Source organism: Homo sapiens, chromosome 16 (genome assembly GCF_000001405.40).
Source record: "Homo sapiens chromosome 16, GRCh38.p14 Primary Assembly".
Classification (NCBI taxonomy): domain Eukaryota; kingdom Metazoa; phylum Chordata; class Mammalia; order Primates; family Hominidae; genus Homo; species Homo sapiens.
Genome location: NC_000016.10, coordinates 835,791 through 853,035, shown reverse-complemented (window position 1 = coordinate 853,035; position 17,245 = coordinate 835,791). Strand labels below are relative to the sequence as shown.

General features: G+C 57.2%; 1 annotated feature.

The window, feature by feature from the left end:
- Positions 12,514–13,014: an enhancer, noted in NCBI's record as "H3K4me1 hESC enhancer chr16:890022-890522 (GRCh37/hg19 assembly coordinates)". NCBI's record gives its function as "activates a minimal SCP1, AML or CMV promoter by ChIP-STARR-seq in naive H9 embryonic stem cells {active_cell/tissue: H9 hESC(naive)}" and the evidence as "EXISTENCE:reporter gene assay evidence [ECO:0000049][PMID:30033119]".

The following is a 17,245-nucleotide window of genomic DNA, read 5'->3' as shown; positions in this document are numbered from 1 at the left end:
AGGGCCTCAGAGGGACGCACCAGGAGCCAGCAAGTCTGCCGGAGCGACCACGCGGAGCTGTCGGCCACAGGGGCCTGGGCGGCCCTTCCCGGGGGGCTGTCCCAGGGACTCTGCTGTTGGTGGGGCCCAGCCCTGTGGCACAGCTCAGGGGCGGACATCTCAGGCAGCGGCAGTTGTGGGAACCCGAGGGACCCATCGCCTGGGAAAGGCTGGTGCCACGGGGTGCCCCTGCCCAGCCTCTGCAAGGGGGAGACCTGAGGAGCCAACAGCCCTCCATGCCCCCTGCCCGGAACCCTCCCGTGCGGCTGTCCTCCCCGTAGTGGGTCCCGAATCCCACAGCCCCTCCTCCCGGGCTCCTTCACCCCGCTCCAGGCTCCTCTTGTCCCAGGGCAGCTGTGCACCACTGGTCTCCCGGGGACCCCGTAGTGGGGCTGCAGGTCCTGGTCAAGGGGGGCAGGGCAGGAGCCCACAGCAGTAGTGACTGGGCACCCCGTTCATGGGACCCACAGCCCAGAGACTCCGCAGCACTGTCCTGGGACCACGGGAAGGGCCTGCAAGAGCCCTGGAGCAGACACCCTCATCCTCCGTTGGGGATGGCAGCTGTGACTTCCCAGGGGACCTGGGGGTGGGGTCACAGGGCATGTGGGGTCAAGTCACACAGCATGAAGTGGACCAGGGCCGTCATTAAGCGAACAGTTTGTGGTGTGGAGTGCGCTCCCGAGGCCGTGCATCCACCTCCCCTCCATCCAGCCCATTTCCATCTTCCAGACAGAGCCTCTAGCCCCAGGGAATCCATCTCATGCCTCTGTGGGTCCCTGTTCGGGACCCTTCATATAAACGGAATCACGGGCCTCAGCCCTCCCATCGGGCATGTCAGCTTCTTCCCTCACGTCTGAACTCTCCACAGAGTCTGTGCGAGACGCCCAGCCCCCGGCTGCCTGTGTTCTGTGTGACGGAGGGTCCCACCTGCCGGTGTGGGGCAATGGGGCCAGTGGCCCCGACACGTGTCAGGCCGATGCCTGTGGTCAGGAAGTCCCCTGGGGGCGGAGGCCTGGGCATCTGAAGGGGTGCTCGGGGTGGGAGTCATGGTGTGATCTGCCCTCCCCATCTCGGCCAGCCTCGGGGGCCTGTCACTGTGGAAGGCAGGTCTGCTACCACCTCTGGGTACCCCACCAAGGTCACAAAAATAGGGGGGCCCCTGGACCCAGCTGGGGGCCTCGAGGGCCCACTCCATGGAGCCCTTGGCTCTGACCCGTGAGTGTCCAGCCCTGCTCAGGGAGACCCCCTCAGCTGGCAGGCAGAGGAGCCCTAATGGTGGGGGTCCAGTCTCTGGATCCAGGTTCCCAGAGACGTCCACTCACCTGGGGCGGACAGGTGACCTGAGGTCGGGTTGTGACAGCCTCGGCTGGAGTGGAGCCTGCACCCTCTGCAGACCCAGAGTCTGTCACACCTGACCCTTCCAAGGCTGGGTTCCCCTCACCTCATCTGTCTTTGGCAGATAGTCCCAAGGCCTCACCACACTGAGCCCATCTCCCCCAAACGTCTGGGGTCCCTGTGTGGTCAGGGCCGTGGGGCCTTTACACTAGCAACCAGTGCCAGCGCCCACACGGCAACCCCCTGGCTCTCCAGGGCCTGCTCTGCGCCCTGACACTAAGCTGCCCCAGTCCCGCACCAGGCCCTCAGTGTGGGTCTGCTGGGTCAACTGTGGGCCTGGGGGAAGGGAGAGGCACCCTGGAGTCCCCAGAGCAGCCTCCCTGGCTGGGTCAGGCCCTCAGCCATTCTCACTGCAGCTTGGAGGTCTCAGACTGCCCAGGTCCTCATCTGAGCAGGAAGGTTTGGGAGAATGGCAGCTTTGGAGCTTCAGATCAGCAACACACAAGAATACCACAGACGGCAGCAGCTGGCCCACAGTGGCAGAAAAGAAAGCTCCCTCGTCAAAACAGTATCACAGCAGCATGGAGACCTAGAGATAAACGGGGCACAGTAACCACCCGAGAAATCGTCCCACATGCGGCCAGGTACCGCCCAATGAGAACAACACGAGAAATCGTCCCACACACACGGCCAGGTACTGTCCGATGAGAACAACCCGAGAAATCATCCCACATGCGGCCAGGTACCGTCCGACAAGAACCCGAGAAATCGTCCTACACACGGCTAGGTACCTTCTGACGAGAACGGCCAGAGAAATCGTCCCACATGTGGCCAAGTACCATCCGACGAGAACAACCCAATAAATCGTCCCACACACGTGGCCAGGTACCTTCCAATGAGAACAACCTGAGAAATCGTCCCACGCATGCGGCCAGGTACCTCTGACGAGAACAGCCCGAGAAATCGTCCCACACGCAGCCACGTACCTTCCAATGACAACAACCCGAGAAATCATCCCACACACGGCCACATACCTTCCGACGAGAACTAGGTACCTTCCGACAAGAACAACCCGAGAAATCATTCCACACATGCAACCAGGTACCTTCTGACAACAACAACCACAGAAATCATCCCCCACGCGGCCAGGTACCGTCCAACGAGAACGACCAGGTACCTTCCGACAAGAACAACCAGGTACCTTCCGACGAAAATGACCCGAGAAATTGTCCCACATGCAGCCACGTACCTTCCAATGAGAACAACCCGAGAAATCATCCCACACACGGCCACATACCTTCCAACGAGAACAACCAGTACCTTCCGATGAGAACAACCAGGTACCTTCCGATGAGAACAACCCGAGAAATCATTCCACACATGCAACCAGGTACCTTCTGACAACAACGACCCAAGAAATCGTCCCACACGCAGCCAGGTACCTTCCAACGAGGACAACCAGGTGTCTTCCGACAAGAACAACCAGGCACCTTCCAACGAGAACAACCAGGTACCTTCCGATGAGAATGACCCAAGAAATTGTCCCACACGTGGCCTGGTACCTTCCGACAAAGGCTCTGAGACCATTCAATGGGAAGAGGACAGCCTTTTCAGCAAATGGTACTGGGAAAGCTTTATCTCCACATGCAAAATAATGAATGAAGCTGGCCCCTTACCTAACAGCATACACAAAAATTAACCCAAAAAACATAGGATGAAACACCTAAATGTAAGAGCTAAAACTGTAAGACTCAGAATAAAACCTGGGAAAATCTTAAGGACATTGGATTTGGCAGTGTTTTCTTGGATATGACAACAACAGCACCGGCAACAACACAGAAAATAAATTGGACTTCATCAAAATTTGACATTTCTGGCCGGGTACAGTGGCTCACACCTGTAATCCCAGCACTTTGGGAGGCCAAGGCAGGCGGATCACCTGAAGTCAGGAGTTTGAGACCAGCCTGGCCAACATAGTGAAACCCCGTCTGTGCCAAAAATACAAAAATTAGCCTGGCGTGGCAGGCACCTGTAGTCCCAGCTACTCGGGAGGCTGAGGCAGAAGAATCGCTTGAACCCGGGAGGCAGATGTTGCAGTGAGCTGAGACCGTACCACTGCACTCCAGCCTGGGCAATAGAGTAATATTCTGTCTTTAAAAAAAAAAACTGTGGCTATAAGTGAGACTGCAGAGCTGCCCCGGGCTGCTGTCTGTGGAAGCCCTGCCCTGCGGGAGCAGCCACAGCTGTAACCCCACCTCTGAAGTAAAGCTGTTTCCTTCCACCTCTGGCTCGACCTTGAATTCTTTCCTGGGCAAAGCCAAGAACCCTCTGGGACTAAGCTCCTCTTTCGGGCTCGTCTGCCATGCATCAGAATGATGTGGCCACGTGGAGACTGTCTGGGGGTTCCTCGAAATGTTCAGTGTAGACGGATGACCACATGACCCCGCAACTCCACGTCTGCACGTAGACCCGGGAGAGCTAGAAACGGCGACCACGTGACCCCGCAACTCCACGTCTGCACGGAGACCCGGGAGAGCTAGAAACGGGGACCACGTGACCCCGCAACTCCACGTCTGCACGTAGACCTGGGAGAGCTAGAAACGGGAACCACGTGACCCCGCAACTCCACATCTGCATGTAGACCCGGGAGAGCGGGAAACGGGGACCTGGGTGTGCTTGCACCGGAACGTTTGCAGCAGCCCAGAGGTGGGGACAGCCCAGATGAACAGACCAGGTGTGCTCACCCATGAGCATTACGCAGCCGCAAAGAGGAGCGAGGCCCCGACGCTCAGATGAGCCTTGAGAACCTGATGCCCAGTGAACCCGCCAGACACAGAGGGCACCGGTCCTGCGATGCCGTCTCTGGAATGTCCAGAACAGGGAAACCCACAGAGACGCTGGGCAGGGAGAAGGTGGACGGCTCTCGGGGCTGCTGGCAGGAACAGGGAGAGCGGGCATGACGGCTCACAGGTCCAGAAGGTTCTCTGGCGGGTGATGAAAATATCTGGAATTAGGCAGAGATGCTGGTTGTGCGTGTGGCCAATGTGTTACGTGCACCACACTGCTGACCTTTAAGTGGTTAATTTTATGTAAATGTCAACTTCACCTCAATGTTTTGAAATACAGCAAAGCAAAGCAGAGTGTCTTAAGCGTCCTGAGACCCTGGGCCTCCCTGCCTCAGGGCCCAGACCCTCACCCTGCCAGAAGGTCCAGTGGGGCTCAGGATGCCGGGCAGGGAACGCGCTTCACTCCTTCTCTGTGGCGTGCATGGGGCTGGAGCCGCTTAAGACCAAGGCTCAGTGCACCTGGATGCTGGTTAACCCGAAAGTGCCGTACGGAGCCACCAGTGGTCCCACAAGCTCTGATGATGGCCGCAGTCACGGACATGCAAACTTTGATTCACTGAGGACCACGCGAGCAAATGACAGGTGATGCCGGCAATTCTCAGCCCACTGCTGCCTGGATAGCTTGCCCCTTACGCCGCGAGCCAGGCTGCCCACCCAGCCCACACCCGGGCCCACCTGGCGCTTAGCAAATGGCCTTCCCACATCACGCTGGTGGCTTTCCGCACCACCCAGTGTTCACCTGGGCTCCCACACACCAGCAGGAGGCAGCAAGCAGGCACCTCCCTCCCATCTTGCTCCAAGCGCTGTGTGCGGGAGGGATGGAAACCTCCAGGCGCTGGGAAGAAGCACCCCAGGCACTAGGCAGGGGAAGGCTGGGGGGCCTCCGTGCCCACCCCCAGGTCTGAGCGCATTGGGGAACCCGGGGCACCGGGAGGGTTTGCGGACAGTGCCACCCTCCCTGCAGGGCTGCGGCCACCTTACTTTGCCTGGGCCGCCTGGCCAGGGGCCGCAGCTGACCCGCTGAGTCTGGGTTGGTGGCTCACCGTTCTAGGGTTTACACCTGACCCAGTGTGATCTATACCTGCCCAGGTCATACCACACTGTCCAAACTGTTACAGCTTTCAAACCAGCCCTGGACTGGCCGTCATAGCCGCCTTGATTGTCGTTGGCCCATTGCTGGAAGCAAGTTGGCGAAAGCTTCCGTCAGCTCTGACGGTTGGTGTGCAGACAGATGGCGGGCCGCAACATCCTTTCCTCCCCTCCCTGAGCCTCTTTTTCTCTTGGGTGGCAGGTGGGGCCATCTCCTCTGCCTCATCTTTTTCCTAACCTGGAAGTTGTTCCTTAAACACCTGCCCACGGTGGGCTACTGTGAAGCCCTTCACCCGCAGCCATGTGGACATGCTGGAGGAACATCAACAGACTCTCATCTGAACAACAAAAAAGAGGAAAGAACACTCAGCAAAGGAAAGAAGAGGCACTGAGCCAGGTCAGCACCCCGGGCCGCTGGGAGAAGGTACCTAGTCCAGATGATATGGGACACACAGGGGTTTACAGGAAACCGCGACACATTACAGACACGGGACACACACGGGTTTACAGGAAACCGGGACACATTACAGACACGGGACACACACAGCTTTACAGGAAACCAGGACCCATTACAGACACGGGACACACACGGGTTACAGGAAACCGGGACACATTACAGACACGGGACACACACGGGTTACAGGAAACCGGGACCCATTACAGACACGGGACACACACGGGTTACAGGAAACCGGGACACATTACAGACACGGGACACACACGGGTTACAGGAAACCGGGACCCATTACAGACACGGGACACACACGGGTTACAGGAAACCGGGACGCATTACAGACACGGGACACACACGGGTTACAGGAAACCGGGACGCATTACAGACACGGGACACACACGGGTTACAGGAAACCGCGACACATTACAGACACGGGACACACACGGGTTTACAGGAAACCGGGTCACATTACATACACGGGACACACACGGGTTACAGGAAACCGGGACCCATTACAGACACGGGACATACACGGGTTACAGGAAACCGGGACCCATTACAGACACGGGACACACACGGGTTTACAGGAAACCAGGACCCATTACAGACACGGGACACACACGGGTTACAGGAAACCGGGACGCATTACAGACACGGGACACACACGGGTTACAGGAAACCGGGACGCATTACAGACACGGGACATACGTGGGTTTACAGGAAACCGGGATCCATTACAGAACAACGTCAGTGAACCCCAAGCTGCAATGATCTAGCAAAAAGGTGAGAAAATACAAATAGCCAATATCAAGAAGAAAAGATATCACCACAAATCCACAGAGATGCTACAGGAATAATAAGGTAATATTATGAACAACTTTATTCTAATCAACTCAGCACCCTACATTAAATGAGAAACACTCCGTGAAAGGCACAGATTACTAAAACGAACGCTAGCCCAAACCCTAATCCTCTCCCTACAGCCGACGAAGAAAGAAAGCCCAAGAGTCCCATAATAATTGAAGAAACTGAATTTGGGCCGGGCGCAGTGGCTCACGCCTGTCATCCCAGCATTTTAGGAGGCCCAGGCAGGTGGATCACCTGAGGACAGGAGTTTGAGACCAGCCTGGCCAACATGGTGAAATCCCGTCTCTACCAAAAATACAAAAACTAGCCCCCATGATGGTGCACACCTGTAATCCCAGGTACTCGGGAGGCTGTGGCAGGAGAATCACTTGGACCCGGGAAGCAGAGGTTGCAGTGAGCGGAGATCGCACCATTGCACTCTAGCCTCGGTGACAGAGTGAGGCTCCATCTCAAAAAAAGAAAAAAGAAATTGAATTTGTAATTTAAAATTTTCCACAAAGAAAACTTGAGGCCAAGATGTGTTCACTGGCGAGTTCCATGCAATACTCGGTAGAGAAATAACACTGCCCTATCCAAGCTCTTCCAGAAAATGGAGGAGGAGAAGCCTCATACGCCCACCAGGACGGGAGGAGGCAGCCACTCTGGAGAAGTGTCAGTTCTGGAAACATGAAGCGTGAACTTCCTCAGGAAGCAGCCACTCCACTCCTAGGTATCTGCCCGAGAGACATGAAAGCACAAGGACGTGTAAGCAGCGTTTATAGCGGGTTGATTTACTGCAGCCAGGACCCGGGGTGGTGCCGGTGTCCGTCAGCAGGAGGACGGGTGAACCGGGTCATCTTGGAGCCATCGTCCTCAGAAACAGGCACATCCGGCTGTTGATACGCACAGCGTCGGACCCTCCAAGGCACCACGCTCAGCTAAAGAACACAGACGAAAGAGCTCACAGGGCGCAGCTCCACTCGCGGAACTGCAGGGAGGACCGCGGCCCAACTCCAGTGACAGACGCAGGCCCATGTTGCCGGGGCCGGAACGCAGGGAGATCTGGGAGAGGAATGTTCTGAATCTCAGCTGTGGTGCCGGGTGCCCTTGTCAGAAACCGTCGGTTACATTTAAATGGGTGCATTTTGTGTTTGGAAATCATGCCCGGCTCTCTGGATAAAGCCCTGATTTATGTGGTTTTGAATTTCTGTGATCTAAACACCGTGCCCGCCCCCATCTCCGATTCAAGCCCCCAACACGTCCTCACTCAGCACGGAGCTGGGCAGACGTGCACGACCGGCTCCCACCTGCTGGCACGAGCCCACCTCACCTTGGGGAGTTGATTTGTAAAATGAAATGAGCACAGAAACGTGTCAGCGCCAGGCTGGACCCAGCGAGCCGCCGATGCCAGCGAGATGCCAGGCTGGACTCAGCAAGCCGCCGATGCCAGCCAGACGCAGAGCAGAGAACGCTGGTCAAAGAGCAGCTAGGCGGTGTCTGCTCGGCCGAAGCCCAGTCCCGGAGAGGCAGGCTCTGTACCAGGACGTGGAGGCTCCGGGGTCATGAAACCCCCAGGGTGAGAGACAAAGGTAGTGAGTGGCCGTCCAGGGCAGAGGGGACGGAGGCAGCACGCGGACGGAGCCTCCGCACAGAGCGTCACGGCCACGACTGGAAAGCTCAGACACGTGTCACGAGCCCACAGCCCAGGTCAGAGGCGGCAGGATGGCGGGCGGCCCCATGCACAGAACTGCGGCCACGTGTGGAAGGCGACGGACACTGGCGGCACAGGGTCTACTGTGCTCTGGACCTGGTGGTGGCCACGCTGATGTTCACCCGTGGACATGTTGGAGCTCGCTGTCCACTGTGTGTGCTGCTTTGCGTGAGTTCCAATCCACGCGGAAACTATTATGATCAGAAAATCTCTCTAACTGTGGCGTGTGAGAGCCTCCAGTTCCGGGTGTTGTGCTGTTGTTTTGAGACGGAGTCTCACTCTGTCACCCAGGCTGGAGTGCAGTGGCGCCATCTGGGCTCACCACAGCCTCCGCCTCCCGGGTTCAAGTGATTCTCCTGTCACAGCCTCCAGAGTAGCTGGGAATACAGGCGCCCGCCACCACGCCCGGCTAATTTTTGTATTTTTAGTAGAGATGGGGTTTCACCATGTTGGCCAGGCTGGTCTCAAACTCATGATCTAGTAATCCACCTGCCTCGGCCTCCCAAAGTGGTAGGATTACAGGCGTGAGCCACTACGCCCGGCCTGGGCTGCACTTCTGAGTCCCTGAAGCTTCCACTGTGTTTATTATGAAGAGCTGAGCTGCGGTTTGTCCTCTAACATGTGTGCTAAGGAAGCGGGAGGAGACCCGGCTCCGGGCGGGGCCATTGTGGCTCCTGGCCTCTCTGCCTCTTCCATCCTATTTTGTTTCTGCTGATGGTCGACCCCGGGCAGCCTGAGCACAGCCACCCCGCCCCCCTGCATCCAGGTCACCGTGTCCCGAGCACAGCCGCCCCCCTGCATCCAGGTCACCGTGTCCACCCAGTGATGTGCTTCCCAGGCCGGACTTTTCTAAACTCAGCCTCTGAACCCACCACAGGCCGGACACACGGCGCCTTCCCCCAGCCCCACGGCTTCGAGAGCGCCCTGGCGAGTGCCTGTCCAGGAAACCTTGTTTTTTGTTTTTTTTTTTTGCGACGGAGTATCGCTCTGTCGCCCAGGCTGGAGTGCAGTGGCGCGATCTCGGCTCACTGCAAGCTCCACCTCCCAGGTTCACGCCATTCTCCTGCCTCAGCTTCCGGGGTAGCTGGGACTACAGGCGCCCGCCACCACACCCAGCTAATTTTTTGTACTTTTAGTAGAGACGGGGTTTCACCGTGTTAGCCAGGATGCTCTCAATCTCCTGACCTCATGATCCACCCACCTCGGCCTCCCAAAGTGCTGGGACTACAGGCGTGAGCCACCACGCCCGGCCCCAGGACACCTCGTTTTAAGGGCAGTGAAAGCCAGGAAAGCCACGGCCAGCAAGACCCAGCAAGACCCAGCAAGGCCCACGCCACCCTTGCTCCTGTCGAGGGGCCGGCGCCCGTTTGTCCTCAGGGAAGGTGGTCTTCGCCGCTGGCTCTGGTCAGGGCTGCATCTGGGCCACCAGGATGTTCAGTGCCAGCCCTGCAGCTGCGGGGCCTTCTGTGGTGGGCACGCATTTGCATCTCAATGACCCTGATTAATATTTAAGGAGCCAGCTGTCTGAGACACACGAAAAAAAGGGTGAAAAAAGCGCCTTGTTCCCTTAAAGGGCGGGCTCCAGGCTCTCCATCAGGTGGCCTCGTCTCCCCACACGATGTCCACACTCACAGTTCTTCTCCATGCAAAAGATACGCGGCATCATCAGCCAGATCAGGACCCGTGTCCCCTCCAGGGCCGGCCCCATTGTGTGCCGCACAGCTGCAGGCTGCAGCCCCAGCCCGTCTGCCTGCCCTGCCCTTTCACAGCCCTGTCTGGTGGAGGTGGATGGCACAGCCCACAGCTGTGCACAGGACACAGCTCAGGGGGTGCCCCAGCCAACGCACCCCCGGCCCAGGGGCATCCCCCACTCGGTCACTGTCACCCCAGCCAGGGGCCTCCCCAGCCACCCGCCCATCTGTCCACGGTGCCTTTGGGGCAGGCGTGGCCAGTCCTGCCCTTCCTGTTGTCTGACCCCTCACTGGGTGTCAGCTCCCCCGAGGAGGGTCTGAGGGTCGGCCTTGACCCCAGGACAATGGGCTGAATGCTGTCTCCCTAAATTCACGGCCACCCGGAATCTCAGAACGGGACCTATTTGGAACTAGGGTCTCTGCAGTTGTGATTAAGGGGAAGGCCTTGAGATCAGGTCATCCTGGATTGAGGATGGCCCAGACCCAGTGACGGCTTCGTAAAGCCAGGGACGATGATACACAGCAAGGGAACAAGGCTGCGTGAACACGGAGACAGAGTGATCCACCCACCCTGGGGCGTCCAGCCGCCGGGAACCAGAAGGGGCAGGAAGCATCGTCACCCGGAGCCTCCAGAGAACACATCTCCAAGACACCGAGACTCACTTCCGCAGAGCTGGGAGGGGACACCTCACCGTTGCCTGGAGACACAACACAGCCCTGGGTTGCTGCAGGCCCAGGAGACGGGGGCCCCAGCAGGAGTAGGAGGCGGCGCCTGCAGGCCCAGGAGCCCCACAGACCCGGGTCCAACCGAGAGGAGCACGTGGAGGCCCCTCCTCAGTCAACCGCCCCACCACCCCCTCAGCCTCCTGCGGCAGCGCTACCCGAGGCCCAGGGTCAGGTCCCGAAGCCCAGGTCAGAACCCACAGCCCAGAGTTCCCCAGCCCAGGGTGAGGTCCTGTGGCCCAGAGTCAAAACCGACGGCCCAGGTGAGAACCTGCAGTCCAGGGTCAGGCCCCAAAGCTGAAGGTTGGGCTGGGCCTCTGCAAGCCCCACACCCCGAGAGAAGCCAGTGGGCGCCCCCTTCACACACTCATGGGGACGCTGGGGAGGCCGAGACGCGGCGGACACCGAGAAAAGCACAGGCCCCTCCCGGGAGGAAGGCTCTGCCCGGGCTCGAGGCTGCGGCAGCAGGTCGGGGCACCCGAGGCCACCCACGCTCGTGAGGGCACCAGTCTCCCGAAATGCAATAGCAGGAGTGGTTCTTTTTTCCTTCACCTGCCTGAGGTGCTGAGTGGACAGGTCTCTGGTCCCATCCTGCCATCCCTGGTCCAAGTGAGTCTGAGAGTTCGAGGGATAACGGGGGCTGGTAGGTAGGGCCTGGGCAGCCCCATGCAGGAACCTGCGAGAAGATCCCCAAGCGACGGGAGCTGGCATCGTGGTTTGTGGCTATTTCCCAGGCACAGAAGCCCCATGTTCCCTGGGAGGGAAGAGGAGGGAGCGTGGCTAGGGGCACCAGGACACAGAGGCACCGGTGACACCCCTCTCAGGCCAGGGGGACACACAGAGCACCTGTGTGGAAACACGTGCACGCACCAGATGACAGCACACATAAGTACACAGCCGCGGGTGCGACACTTCCTGCTAACATCAGTGTTGTCAATTGTGTGAATGGAAAGGTATTTTGGAAATAGGAGTGAGGCGTGTGGAGCTGAGCCTCTGCCCGGCGGTTGCTCTTAACCCCGGAGGTGACCACACCCCAGCCACGTCCCTGAACCAGCCGCTGCACAGAGCGGCCCCTGCACGGAGCGGCCCCTGCACGGAGCGGCCTGGCTGAGCCTTTTCGTCTCCAGCCCCTGCTGCTGGGCCTGGCTTCTGCAAGAGCCACCAGGCCCAAGACCTCAAATGCCCACCTGAGAAAGGGGCTCAGGGCTTTTCTTTCCCAAGGGGAAACGTGAGCTTCCAGCAGCCACAGGATGCCTGGGGAGCAACTCTCTTTCTGAAGCTCAAAGCCTCTTTCGGAGGAAGGTCCGGCCTCTGGGGGGGGTGGGGTCACCTCATCCAGGGCAGGGGTGGGGACACCTCATCCAGGGCATCACTCTGACCATCCTCAGGCTGCCCTGCCCCCCGCGACCCTCCACGCCCAGTGTCCACCACCCCCTTAGGGGGACGCTGTCCACGGCAGCCCCCAGCCCCCTATGCGGAGCTGCAGCAGGGCCCCCCAGAAGCCCCCACAGTGGGAGGCCCGTGTATTCATGCCACAAACAACTACGGAGCCCCTGCCTTCCGGGGGCCATGGAGCCAGGTGCTGGGGACCAGGCTCCTGGCTGGCAGGACGCGTTCGAGGCCTCTGTTGTCCTGAGGGCTCTGGGGTAGCGGCAAAGCCTGGGGGCCTCCAGGTGGTGGCAGCCGATTGGACCCATCCACACATCCTTGAGTCCTCACCCTTCTCCTATCCCAGGGCTGGCAGTGGCCACCTCACAGGGGCTCCACACCTCCTCGGGGTGGACCCTCCCCAGCCCAGCCCAGCCCAGTGATCTCAGCCAGAAGCAGAGCTGCAGCAAGGAGGGGGCCACACAGCCCCCAGGGCTCCTCAGCCCGACCACACCAGGACGCCACGTCCCTGGGCTTGAGGCATCTGCCTTTCGGGGCCGGGCCTCTGGCTCTCCTGGGAGCAGGATGTCAATGAGACTCATCTTCCCTGGGGGCAGGTTGGCAGGGGGAGGGGGAAACAACGAGAGGGCAAGGAGACCGCGCCCCACCTGGGGACACGGGAGAGGCCAGGCTGCCCCTCCACAGGGAGCAGGGGTGCAGGCAGGTGAGGGTTAAACCCACAGCTCGGGGTTGCCTCCCCACGCCCTTCCCTGGGGCCCTGGAGGGACAGCTGGCCCATCACTGTCACCTGTCAGGGCTCAGGCAGCACAGCTGTGTAGACAGTGTGAGCCCAGGCCTCTGATCCAGGCTGCTCAGAACAAAGTGCCCACACATGGACCCAGCCTCCCACTCTGCAGGGCAGCACAGCTGGCAGCGTTTCCTGGACGTCCCCCTGACCTGAGTGCCCAGGGTCTCCCAGGCATCCCCTCAACCCCGGGTGCCCAGTTCACAGTGGGGACTGTGCTGAGTCCATCGCCCTGCAGGCAGCGCCGAAAACCAGCTGGTCCACATGCCCTGGCCACGTCCACTCAGCACAGGGCAGTGCGTGACCAGCACCCTCAGCCCTCTCTCGGTACCGCAATGGGGACCCCACCGCCAAGTTGCAGCCCCGGCCACTCGGTGGCAGTAAGGGAATGACCTGATGGTGACGGTGAACATGCCCTGCTTCGTCCTCAGGCCCACAGGGTGGGAACCAGACACCAAGCACCTTGTGAATAACTTGCCGGCTCTGCTGACCTCCCCATCCCACGACCCCCGAGCTGAGAAGAGCAAAGCCCCCGTGGGCTGGAGAGCTGCCTTCTCCCCCCTCTACAGGGTCTGTGGGTCCACACTGGGGGCAGGGGGTACCCCTTCTCTGGTCGGGCCGTGCACACCCATAACTGGGCAGGGCCAGAGTGGGGCCGGAGCCACCCACAGACCCAGGCAGCAGAGGGGCTGGCCCGGAGGCCTAGAGACCGTAATAGTAGGAGAATGCGGAACCCCAAAAAGAGACACCCACGTCCTCGCCCCAGAACCTGTGGACGTGACAGTATTTGGAAAAGGGTCTCTACAGACATCAGTAGGTTGAGGGCTTTGAGACGAGATCGTCCTGGAGTACGGTGGGCCCTAAATCCAGTGGGAGGGGTCCTTCTAAGAGACAGGCGAGGAGAAAACACAGACAGAGGACGTGGTCAAGTGAAGTCAGAGGCAGAGACGAGCAACGTGGCCACAAGCCGAGGAACACCTGAAGCCCCTGGGAGCTGGAAAGGGCAGGAGGACCCTCCCCTGGAGTCTCCAGTGGGAACACAGCCCTGCCGAAGCCTTGATCTCAGACTTCTGGCCTCCAGGACAGTGGGGGTGGGTTTCTGTTGCTTTAAGCCCCCGAGTTTGCTACAGCAGCCCAGTCCCCGAACCTTCCTGACGGCCGCGCCCAGTCCCCGTGCCCTCCTGACAGCCGCGCGGCCACACTGGGACGGATCCATCTTCCCAGGCCTCGTCTGGCTCTTCCCATCAGCCTCGGGGCCCAGCTGCCCCTCAGACGCTCAGTCAAGACTCATCTTTGGTCTCAGGGCTGCTCAAAACACAAAGTCAAAAGCACAAACAACTCCCCTCTAGGAATGTAAATTTTATAACTTAGAAGAAATGGACCAATTCCTTAAAAACCACAACAAAAACTCACCCAAAATGTAACTGATAACGAACAGCCCTTCAGCTATTAAAGAAATTAAATCTGTAAAGATATGAAAAGGAAGCATCCGGCTGGACGCGGTGGCTCATGCCTGTAATCCCAGCACTGTGGGAGGCCAAGGCAGGTGGATTACCTGAGGTTGGGAGTTCAAGACCAGCCTGACCAACATGGAGAACCCCATCTCTACTAAAAATACAAAAATTAGCCGGGCATGGTGGCGTATGCCTGTAATTCCAGCTACTCGGGAGGCTGAGGCAGGAGAATCACTTGAACCTGGGAGGTGGAGGTTGTGGTGAGCCCAGATCATGCCATTGCACTCCAGCCTAGGCAACAAGAGCGAAACTCTGTCTCAAAAAAAAAAAAAAAGAAAAGAAAAATAAATAAAAGTAAACGTCCAAGCAAAGATGGTTTGACTGAATCCACCAAACCTTAATAAAAGAAATAACACCAATTCTACACAACCTCTTCCAAAAAACAGAAGAGGAGGAAACACTTCCCAGTGTGTTTCATCAGGCCAGCATTACCGTAATACTAAAACCAGAAAAAGACAGTACAAGAAAAGAAAACCAGAGGGGTGCAGTGGCTCACGTCTATAATCCCAGCACTTTGGGAGGCCGAGGCAGGCGGATCATGAGGTCAGGAGATTGACACCATCCTAGCTAACACAGTGAAACCCCGTCTCTACTAAAAATACAAAAAATTAGCTAGGCGTGGTGGTGGACACCTGTAGTCCCAGCTACCTGAGAGGCTGAGTCAGGAGAGTCACTCAAACCGGGAGGCGGAGGTTGCAGTGAACCGAGATCACACCACTGCACTCCAACCTGGGTGACAGAGCGAGACTCCATCTCAAAAAAAAAAAAAAAGAAAAGAAAAGAAAAGAAAAGAAAAAACCACAGGCCGGACACAGTGGTTCACACCTGTAATCCCAGCACTTTGGGAGGCCAAGGTGGGTAGATCACTTGAGGCCAGGAGTTCGAGACCAGCCTGGCCAACATGGCAAAACCTTGTCTCTGCTAAAAACAAAAAATGAGCCAGGTGTGGTGGTGTGCACCTGTAATCCCAGCTACTCGGGAGGCTGAGGCACAAGAATCATTTGAACCCAGGAGGCAGAGGTTGCAGTGAGCCAAGATCACACCACTACACTCCCAGCATGAGTGACAGAGTGAAACTGTCTCAAAAAAAAAAAAAAAAAAAAAAAAAAAAAGAGTCCAAGCACAGTGGCTCACACCTGTAATCCCAGCACTTTGGGAGGCTGAGGCAGGTGGATCATGAGGTCAGGAGATCGAGACCACCCTGGCTAACATGGTGAAACCCCGTCTCTACTAAAAATAGAAAAAATTAGCCAGGCATGTTGGCAGACGCCTATATTCCCAGCTACCCGGGAGGCTGAGGCAGGAGAATTGCTTGAACCCAGGAGATGGACATTGCAGTGAGCTGAGATCTCACCACTGCACTCTGGCCTGGGCGACAGAGCAAGACTCTTGTCTCAAAAAAAAAAAGAAAGAAAGAAAACAAAGCCAAACCGCAGACCAATATACCTCATGAATATAGACAGAAAACAAAACCTCAGCAAGATATTAGCAAATTGGTAATATCAGAAATATGTAAAAAGAATTAGACACCATGCTCAACTGGACTGTGGATTATATTCCATGATGAGGAATGCAAGGTTGGTTCAATCTGAAAACCAATCAGCCAGGCACGGTGGCTCACATCTGTAATCCCAGCACTTTGGGAGGCCAAGGCAGGTGGATCACTTGAGGTGAGGAGTTTGTGACCAGCCTGGCCAACATGGTGAAACCCCATCTCTACTAAAAATACAAAAAATGAGCCGGTCATGGTGGCAAGCACCTGTAATCCCAGCTACTCAGGAGGCTGAGGCAGGAGAATCACTTGAACACAGGAGGTGGAGGCTGCAGTAAGCGAAGATCATGCCACTGTACTCCAGCCTGGGCAACGATTGTGAAACTCCATCAAAAAAAGAAAAAACAAAAACAAAAAGCAAATCAACCAATTAAAACACTAAGAAAAACCATATGATTGTATCTCTGATAGATACAGGAAAAAACATTAGACAAAATTCAACACTATTCATAATAGAAACTCAGCAAATTAAGAAGAGAAGGAAACTTCTTCAGCCTAATAAAAGGCATCTACAGAATCCATAGCCCTCATACTATTTAATGGGGAAAAACCGAAAGCTTCACTGTAAGATCAAGCACAGGACAAGGACAGCCACTCCCACTGTTTCTATTCCATATCACACTAGACTTGCTAGCCAGAGTAATAAGGCAAGAAAAAAGAAAGCAACATGGATGCCGCCAAAGGCACTGACGGAGTGAAAGTTTACACCAAGTTTCAGAATTGGAGAAACTAACCTATCCTGAAACACACATGAGGACAACGGTTCCCTCTGTGGGGGGGGTTACCTGGGGAGAGGCATGAGGAATGTTCAGGGTGTTGTTCTGTCTTGACCAAGGAGTGTTCTGTCTTGACCGAGCTGTGGGTTACTGGTGTCACATTTGTTAAAACTCATCCAGTTATAACCTAAAATATGTGCATTTTATGTTAGCGGTTGAGGACTCACCACTGCAAACCCTGCAGGCTCCATTTGGGGAGGCCCCCCTACATGTGGCTACTGTGCCCATAGCTGCCCAAGCAAAGGCCCCACGAGGACCTGGGCCTGTTGGTGCAGAGCCCTGTGAAGCGGAGGCTGCACCCCCAATAGGGCAATACCCAGCACCACCCCCATTACAGACCTTCCAGACCACCCTAGCATGTTCTCACACATGCTCAAAGAGAAAAGGCATCTCTCATCTTCGAGTGTTCCCTGTTCACCCTCTTTCCTTAATTTGCCTTACATGGTCACCCCTGAAAAGCCCCTTCTGAGCTATCCTTCCCTCCAGGTCCCAGAGA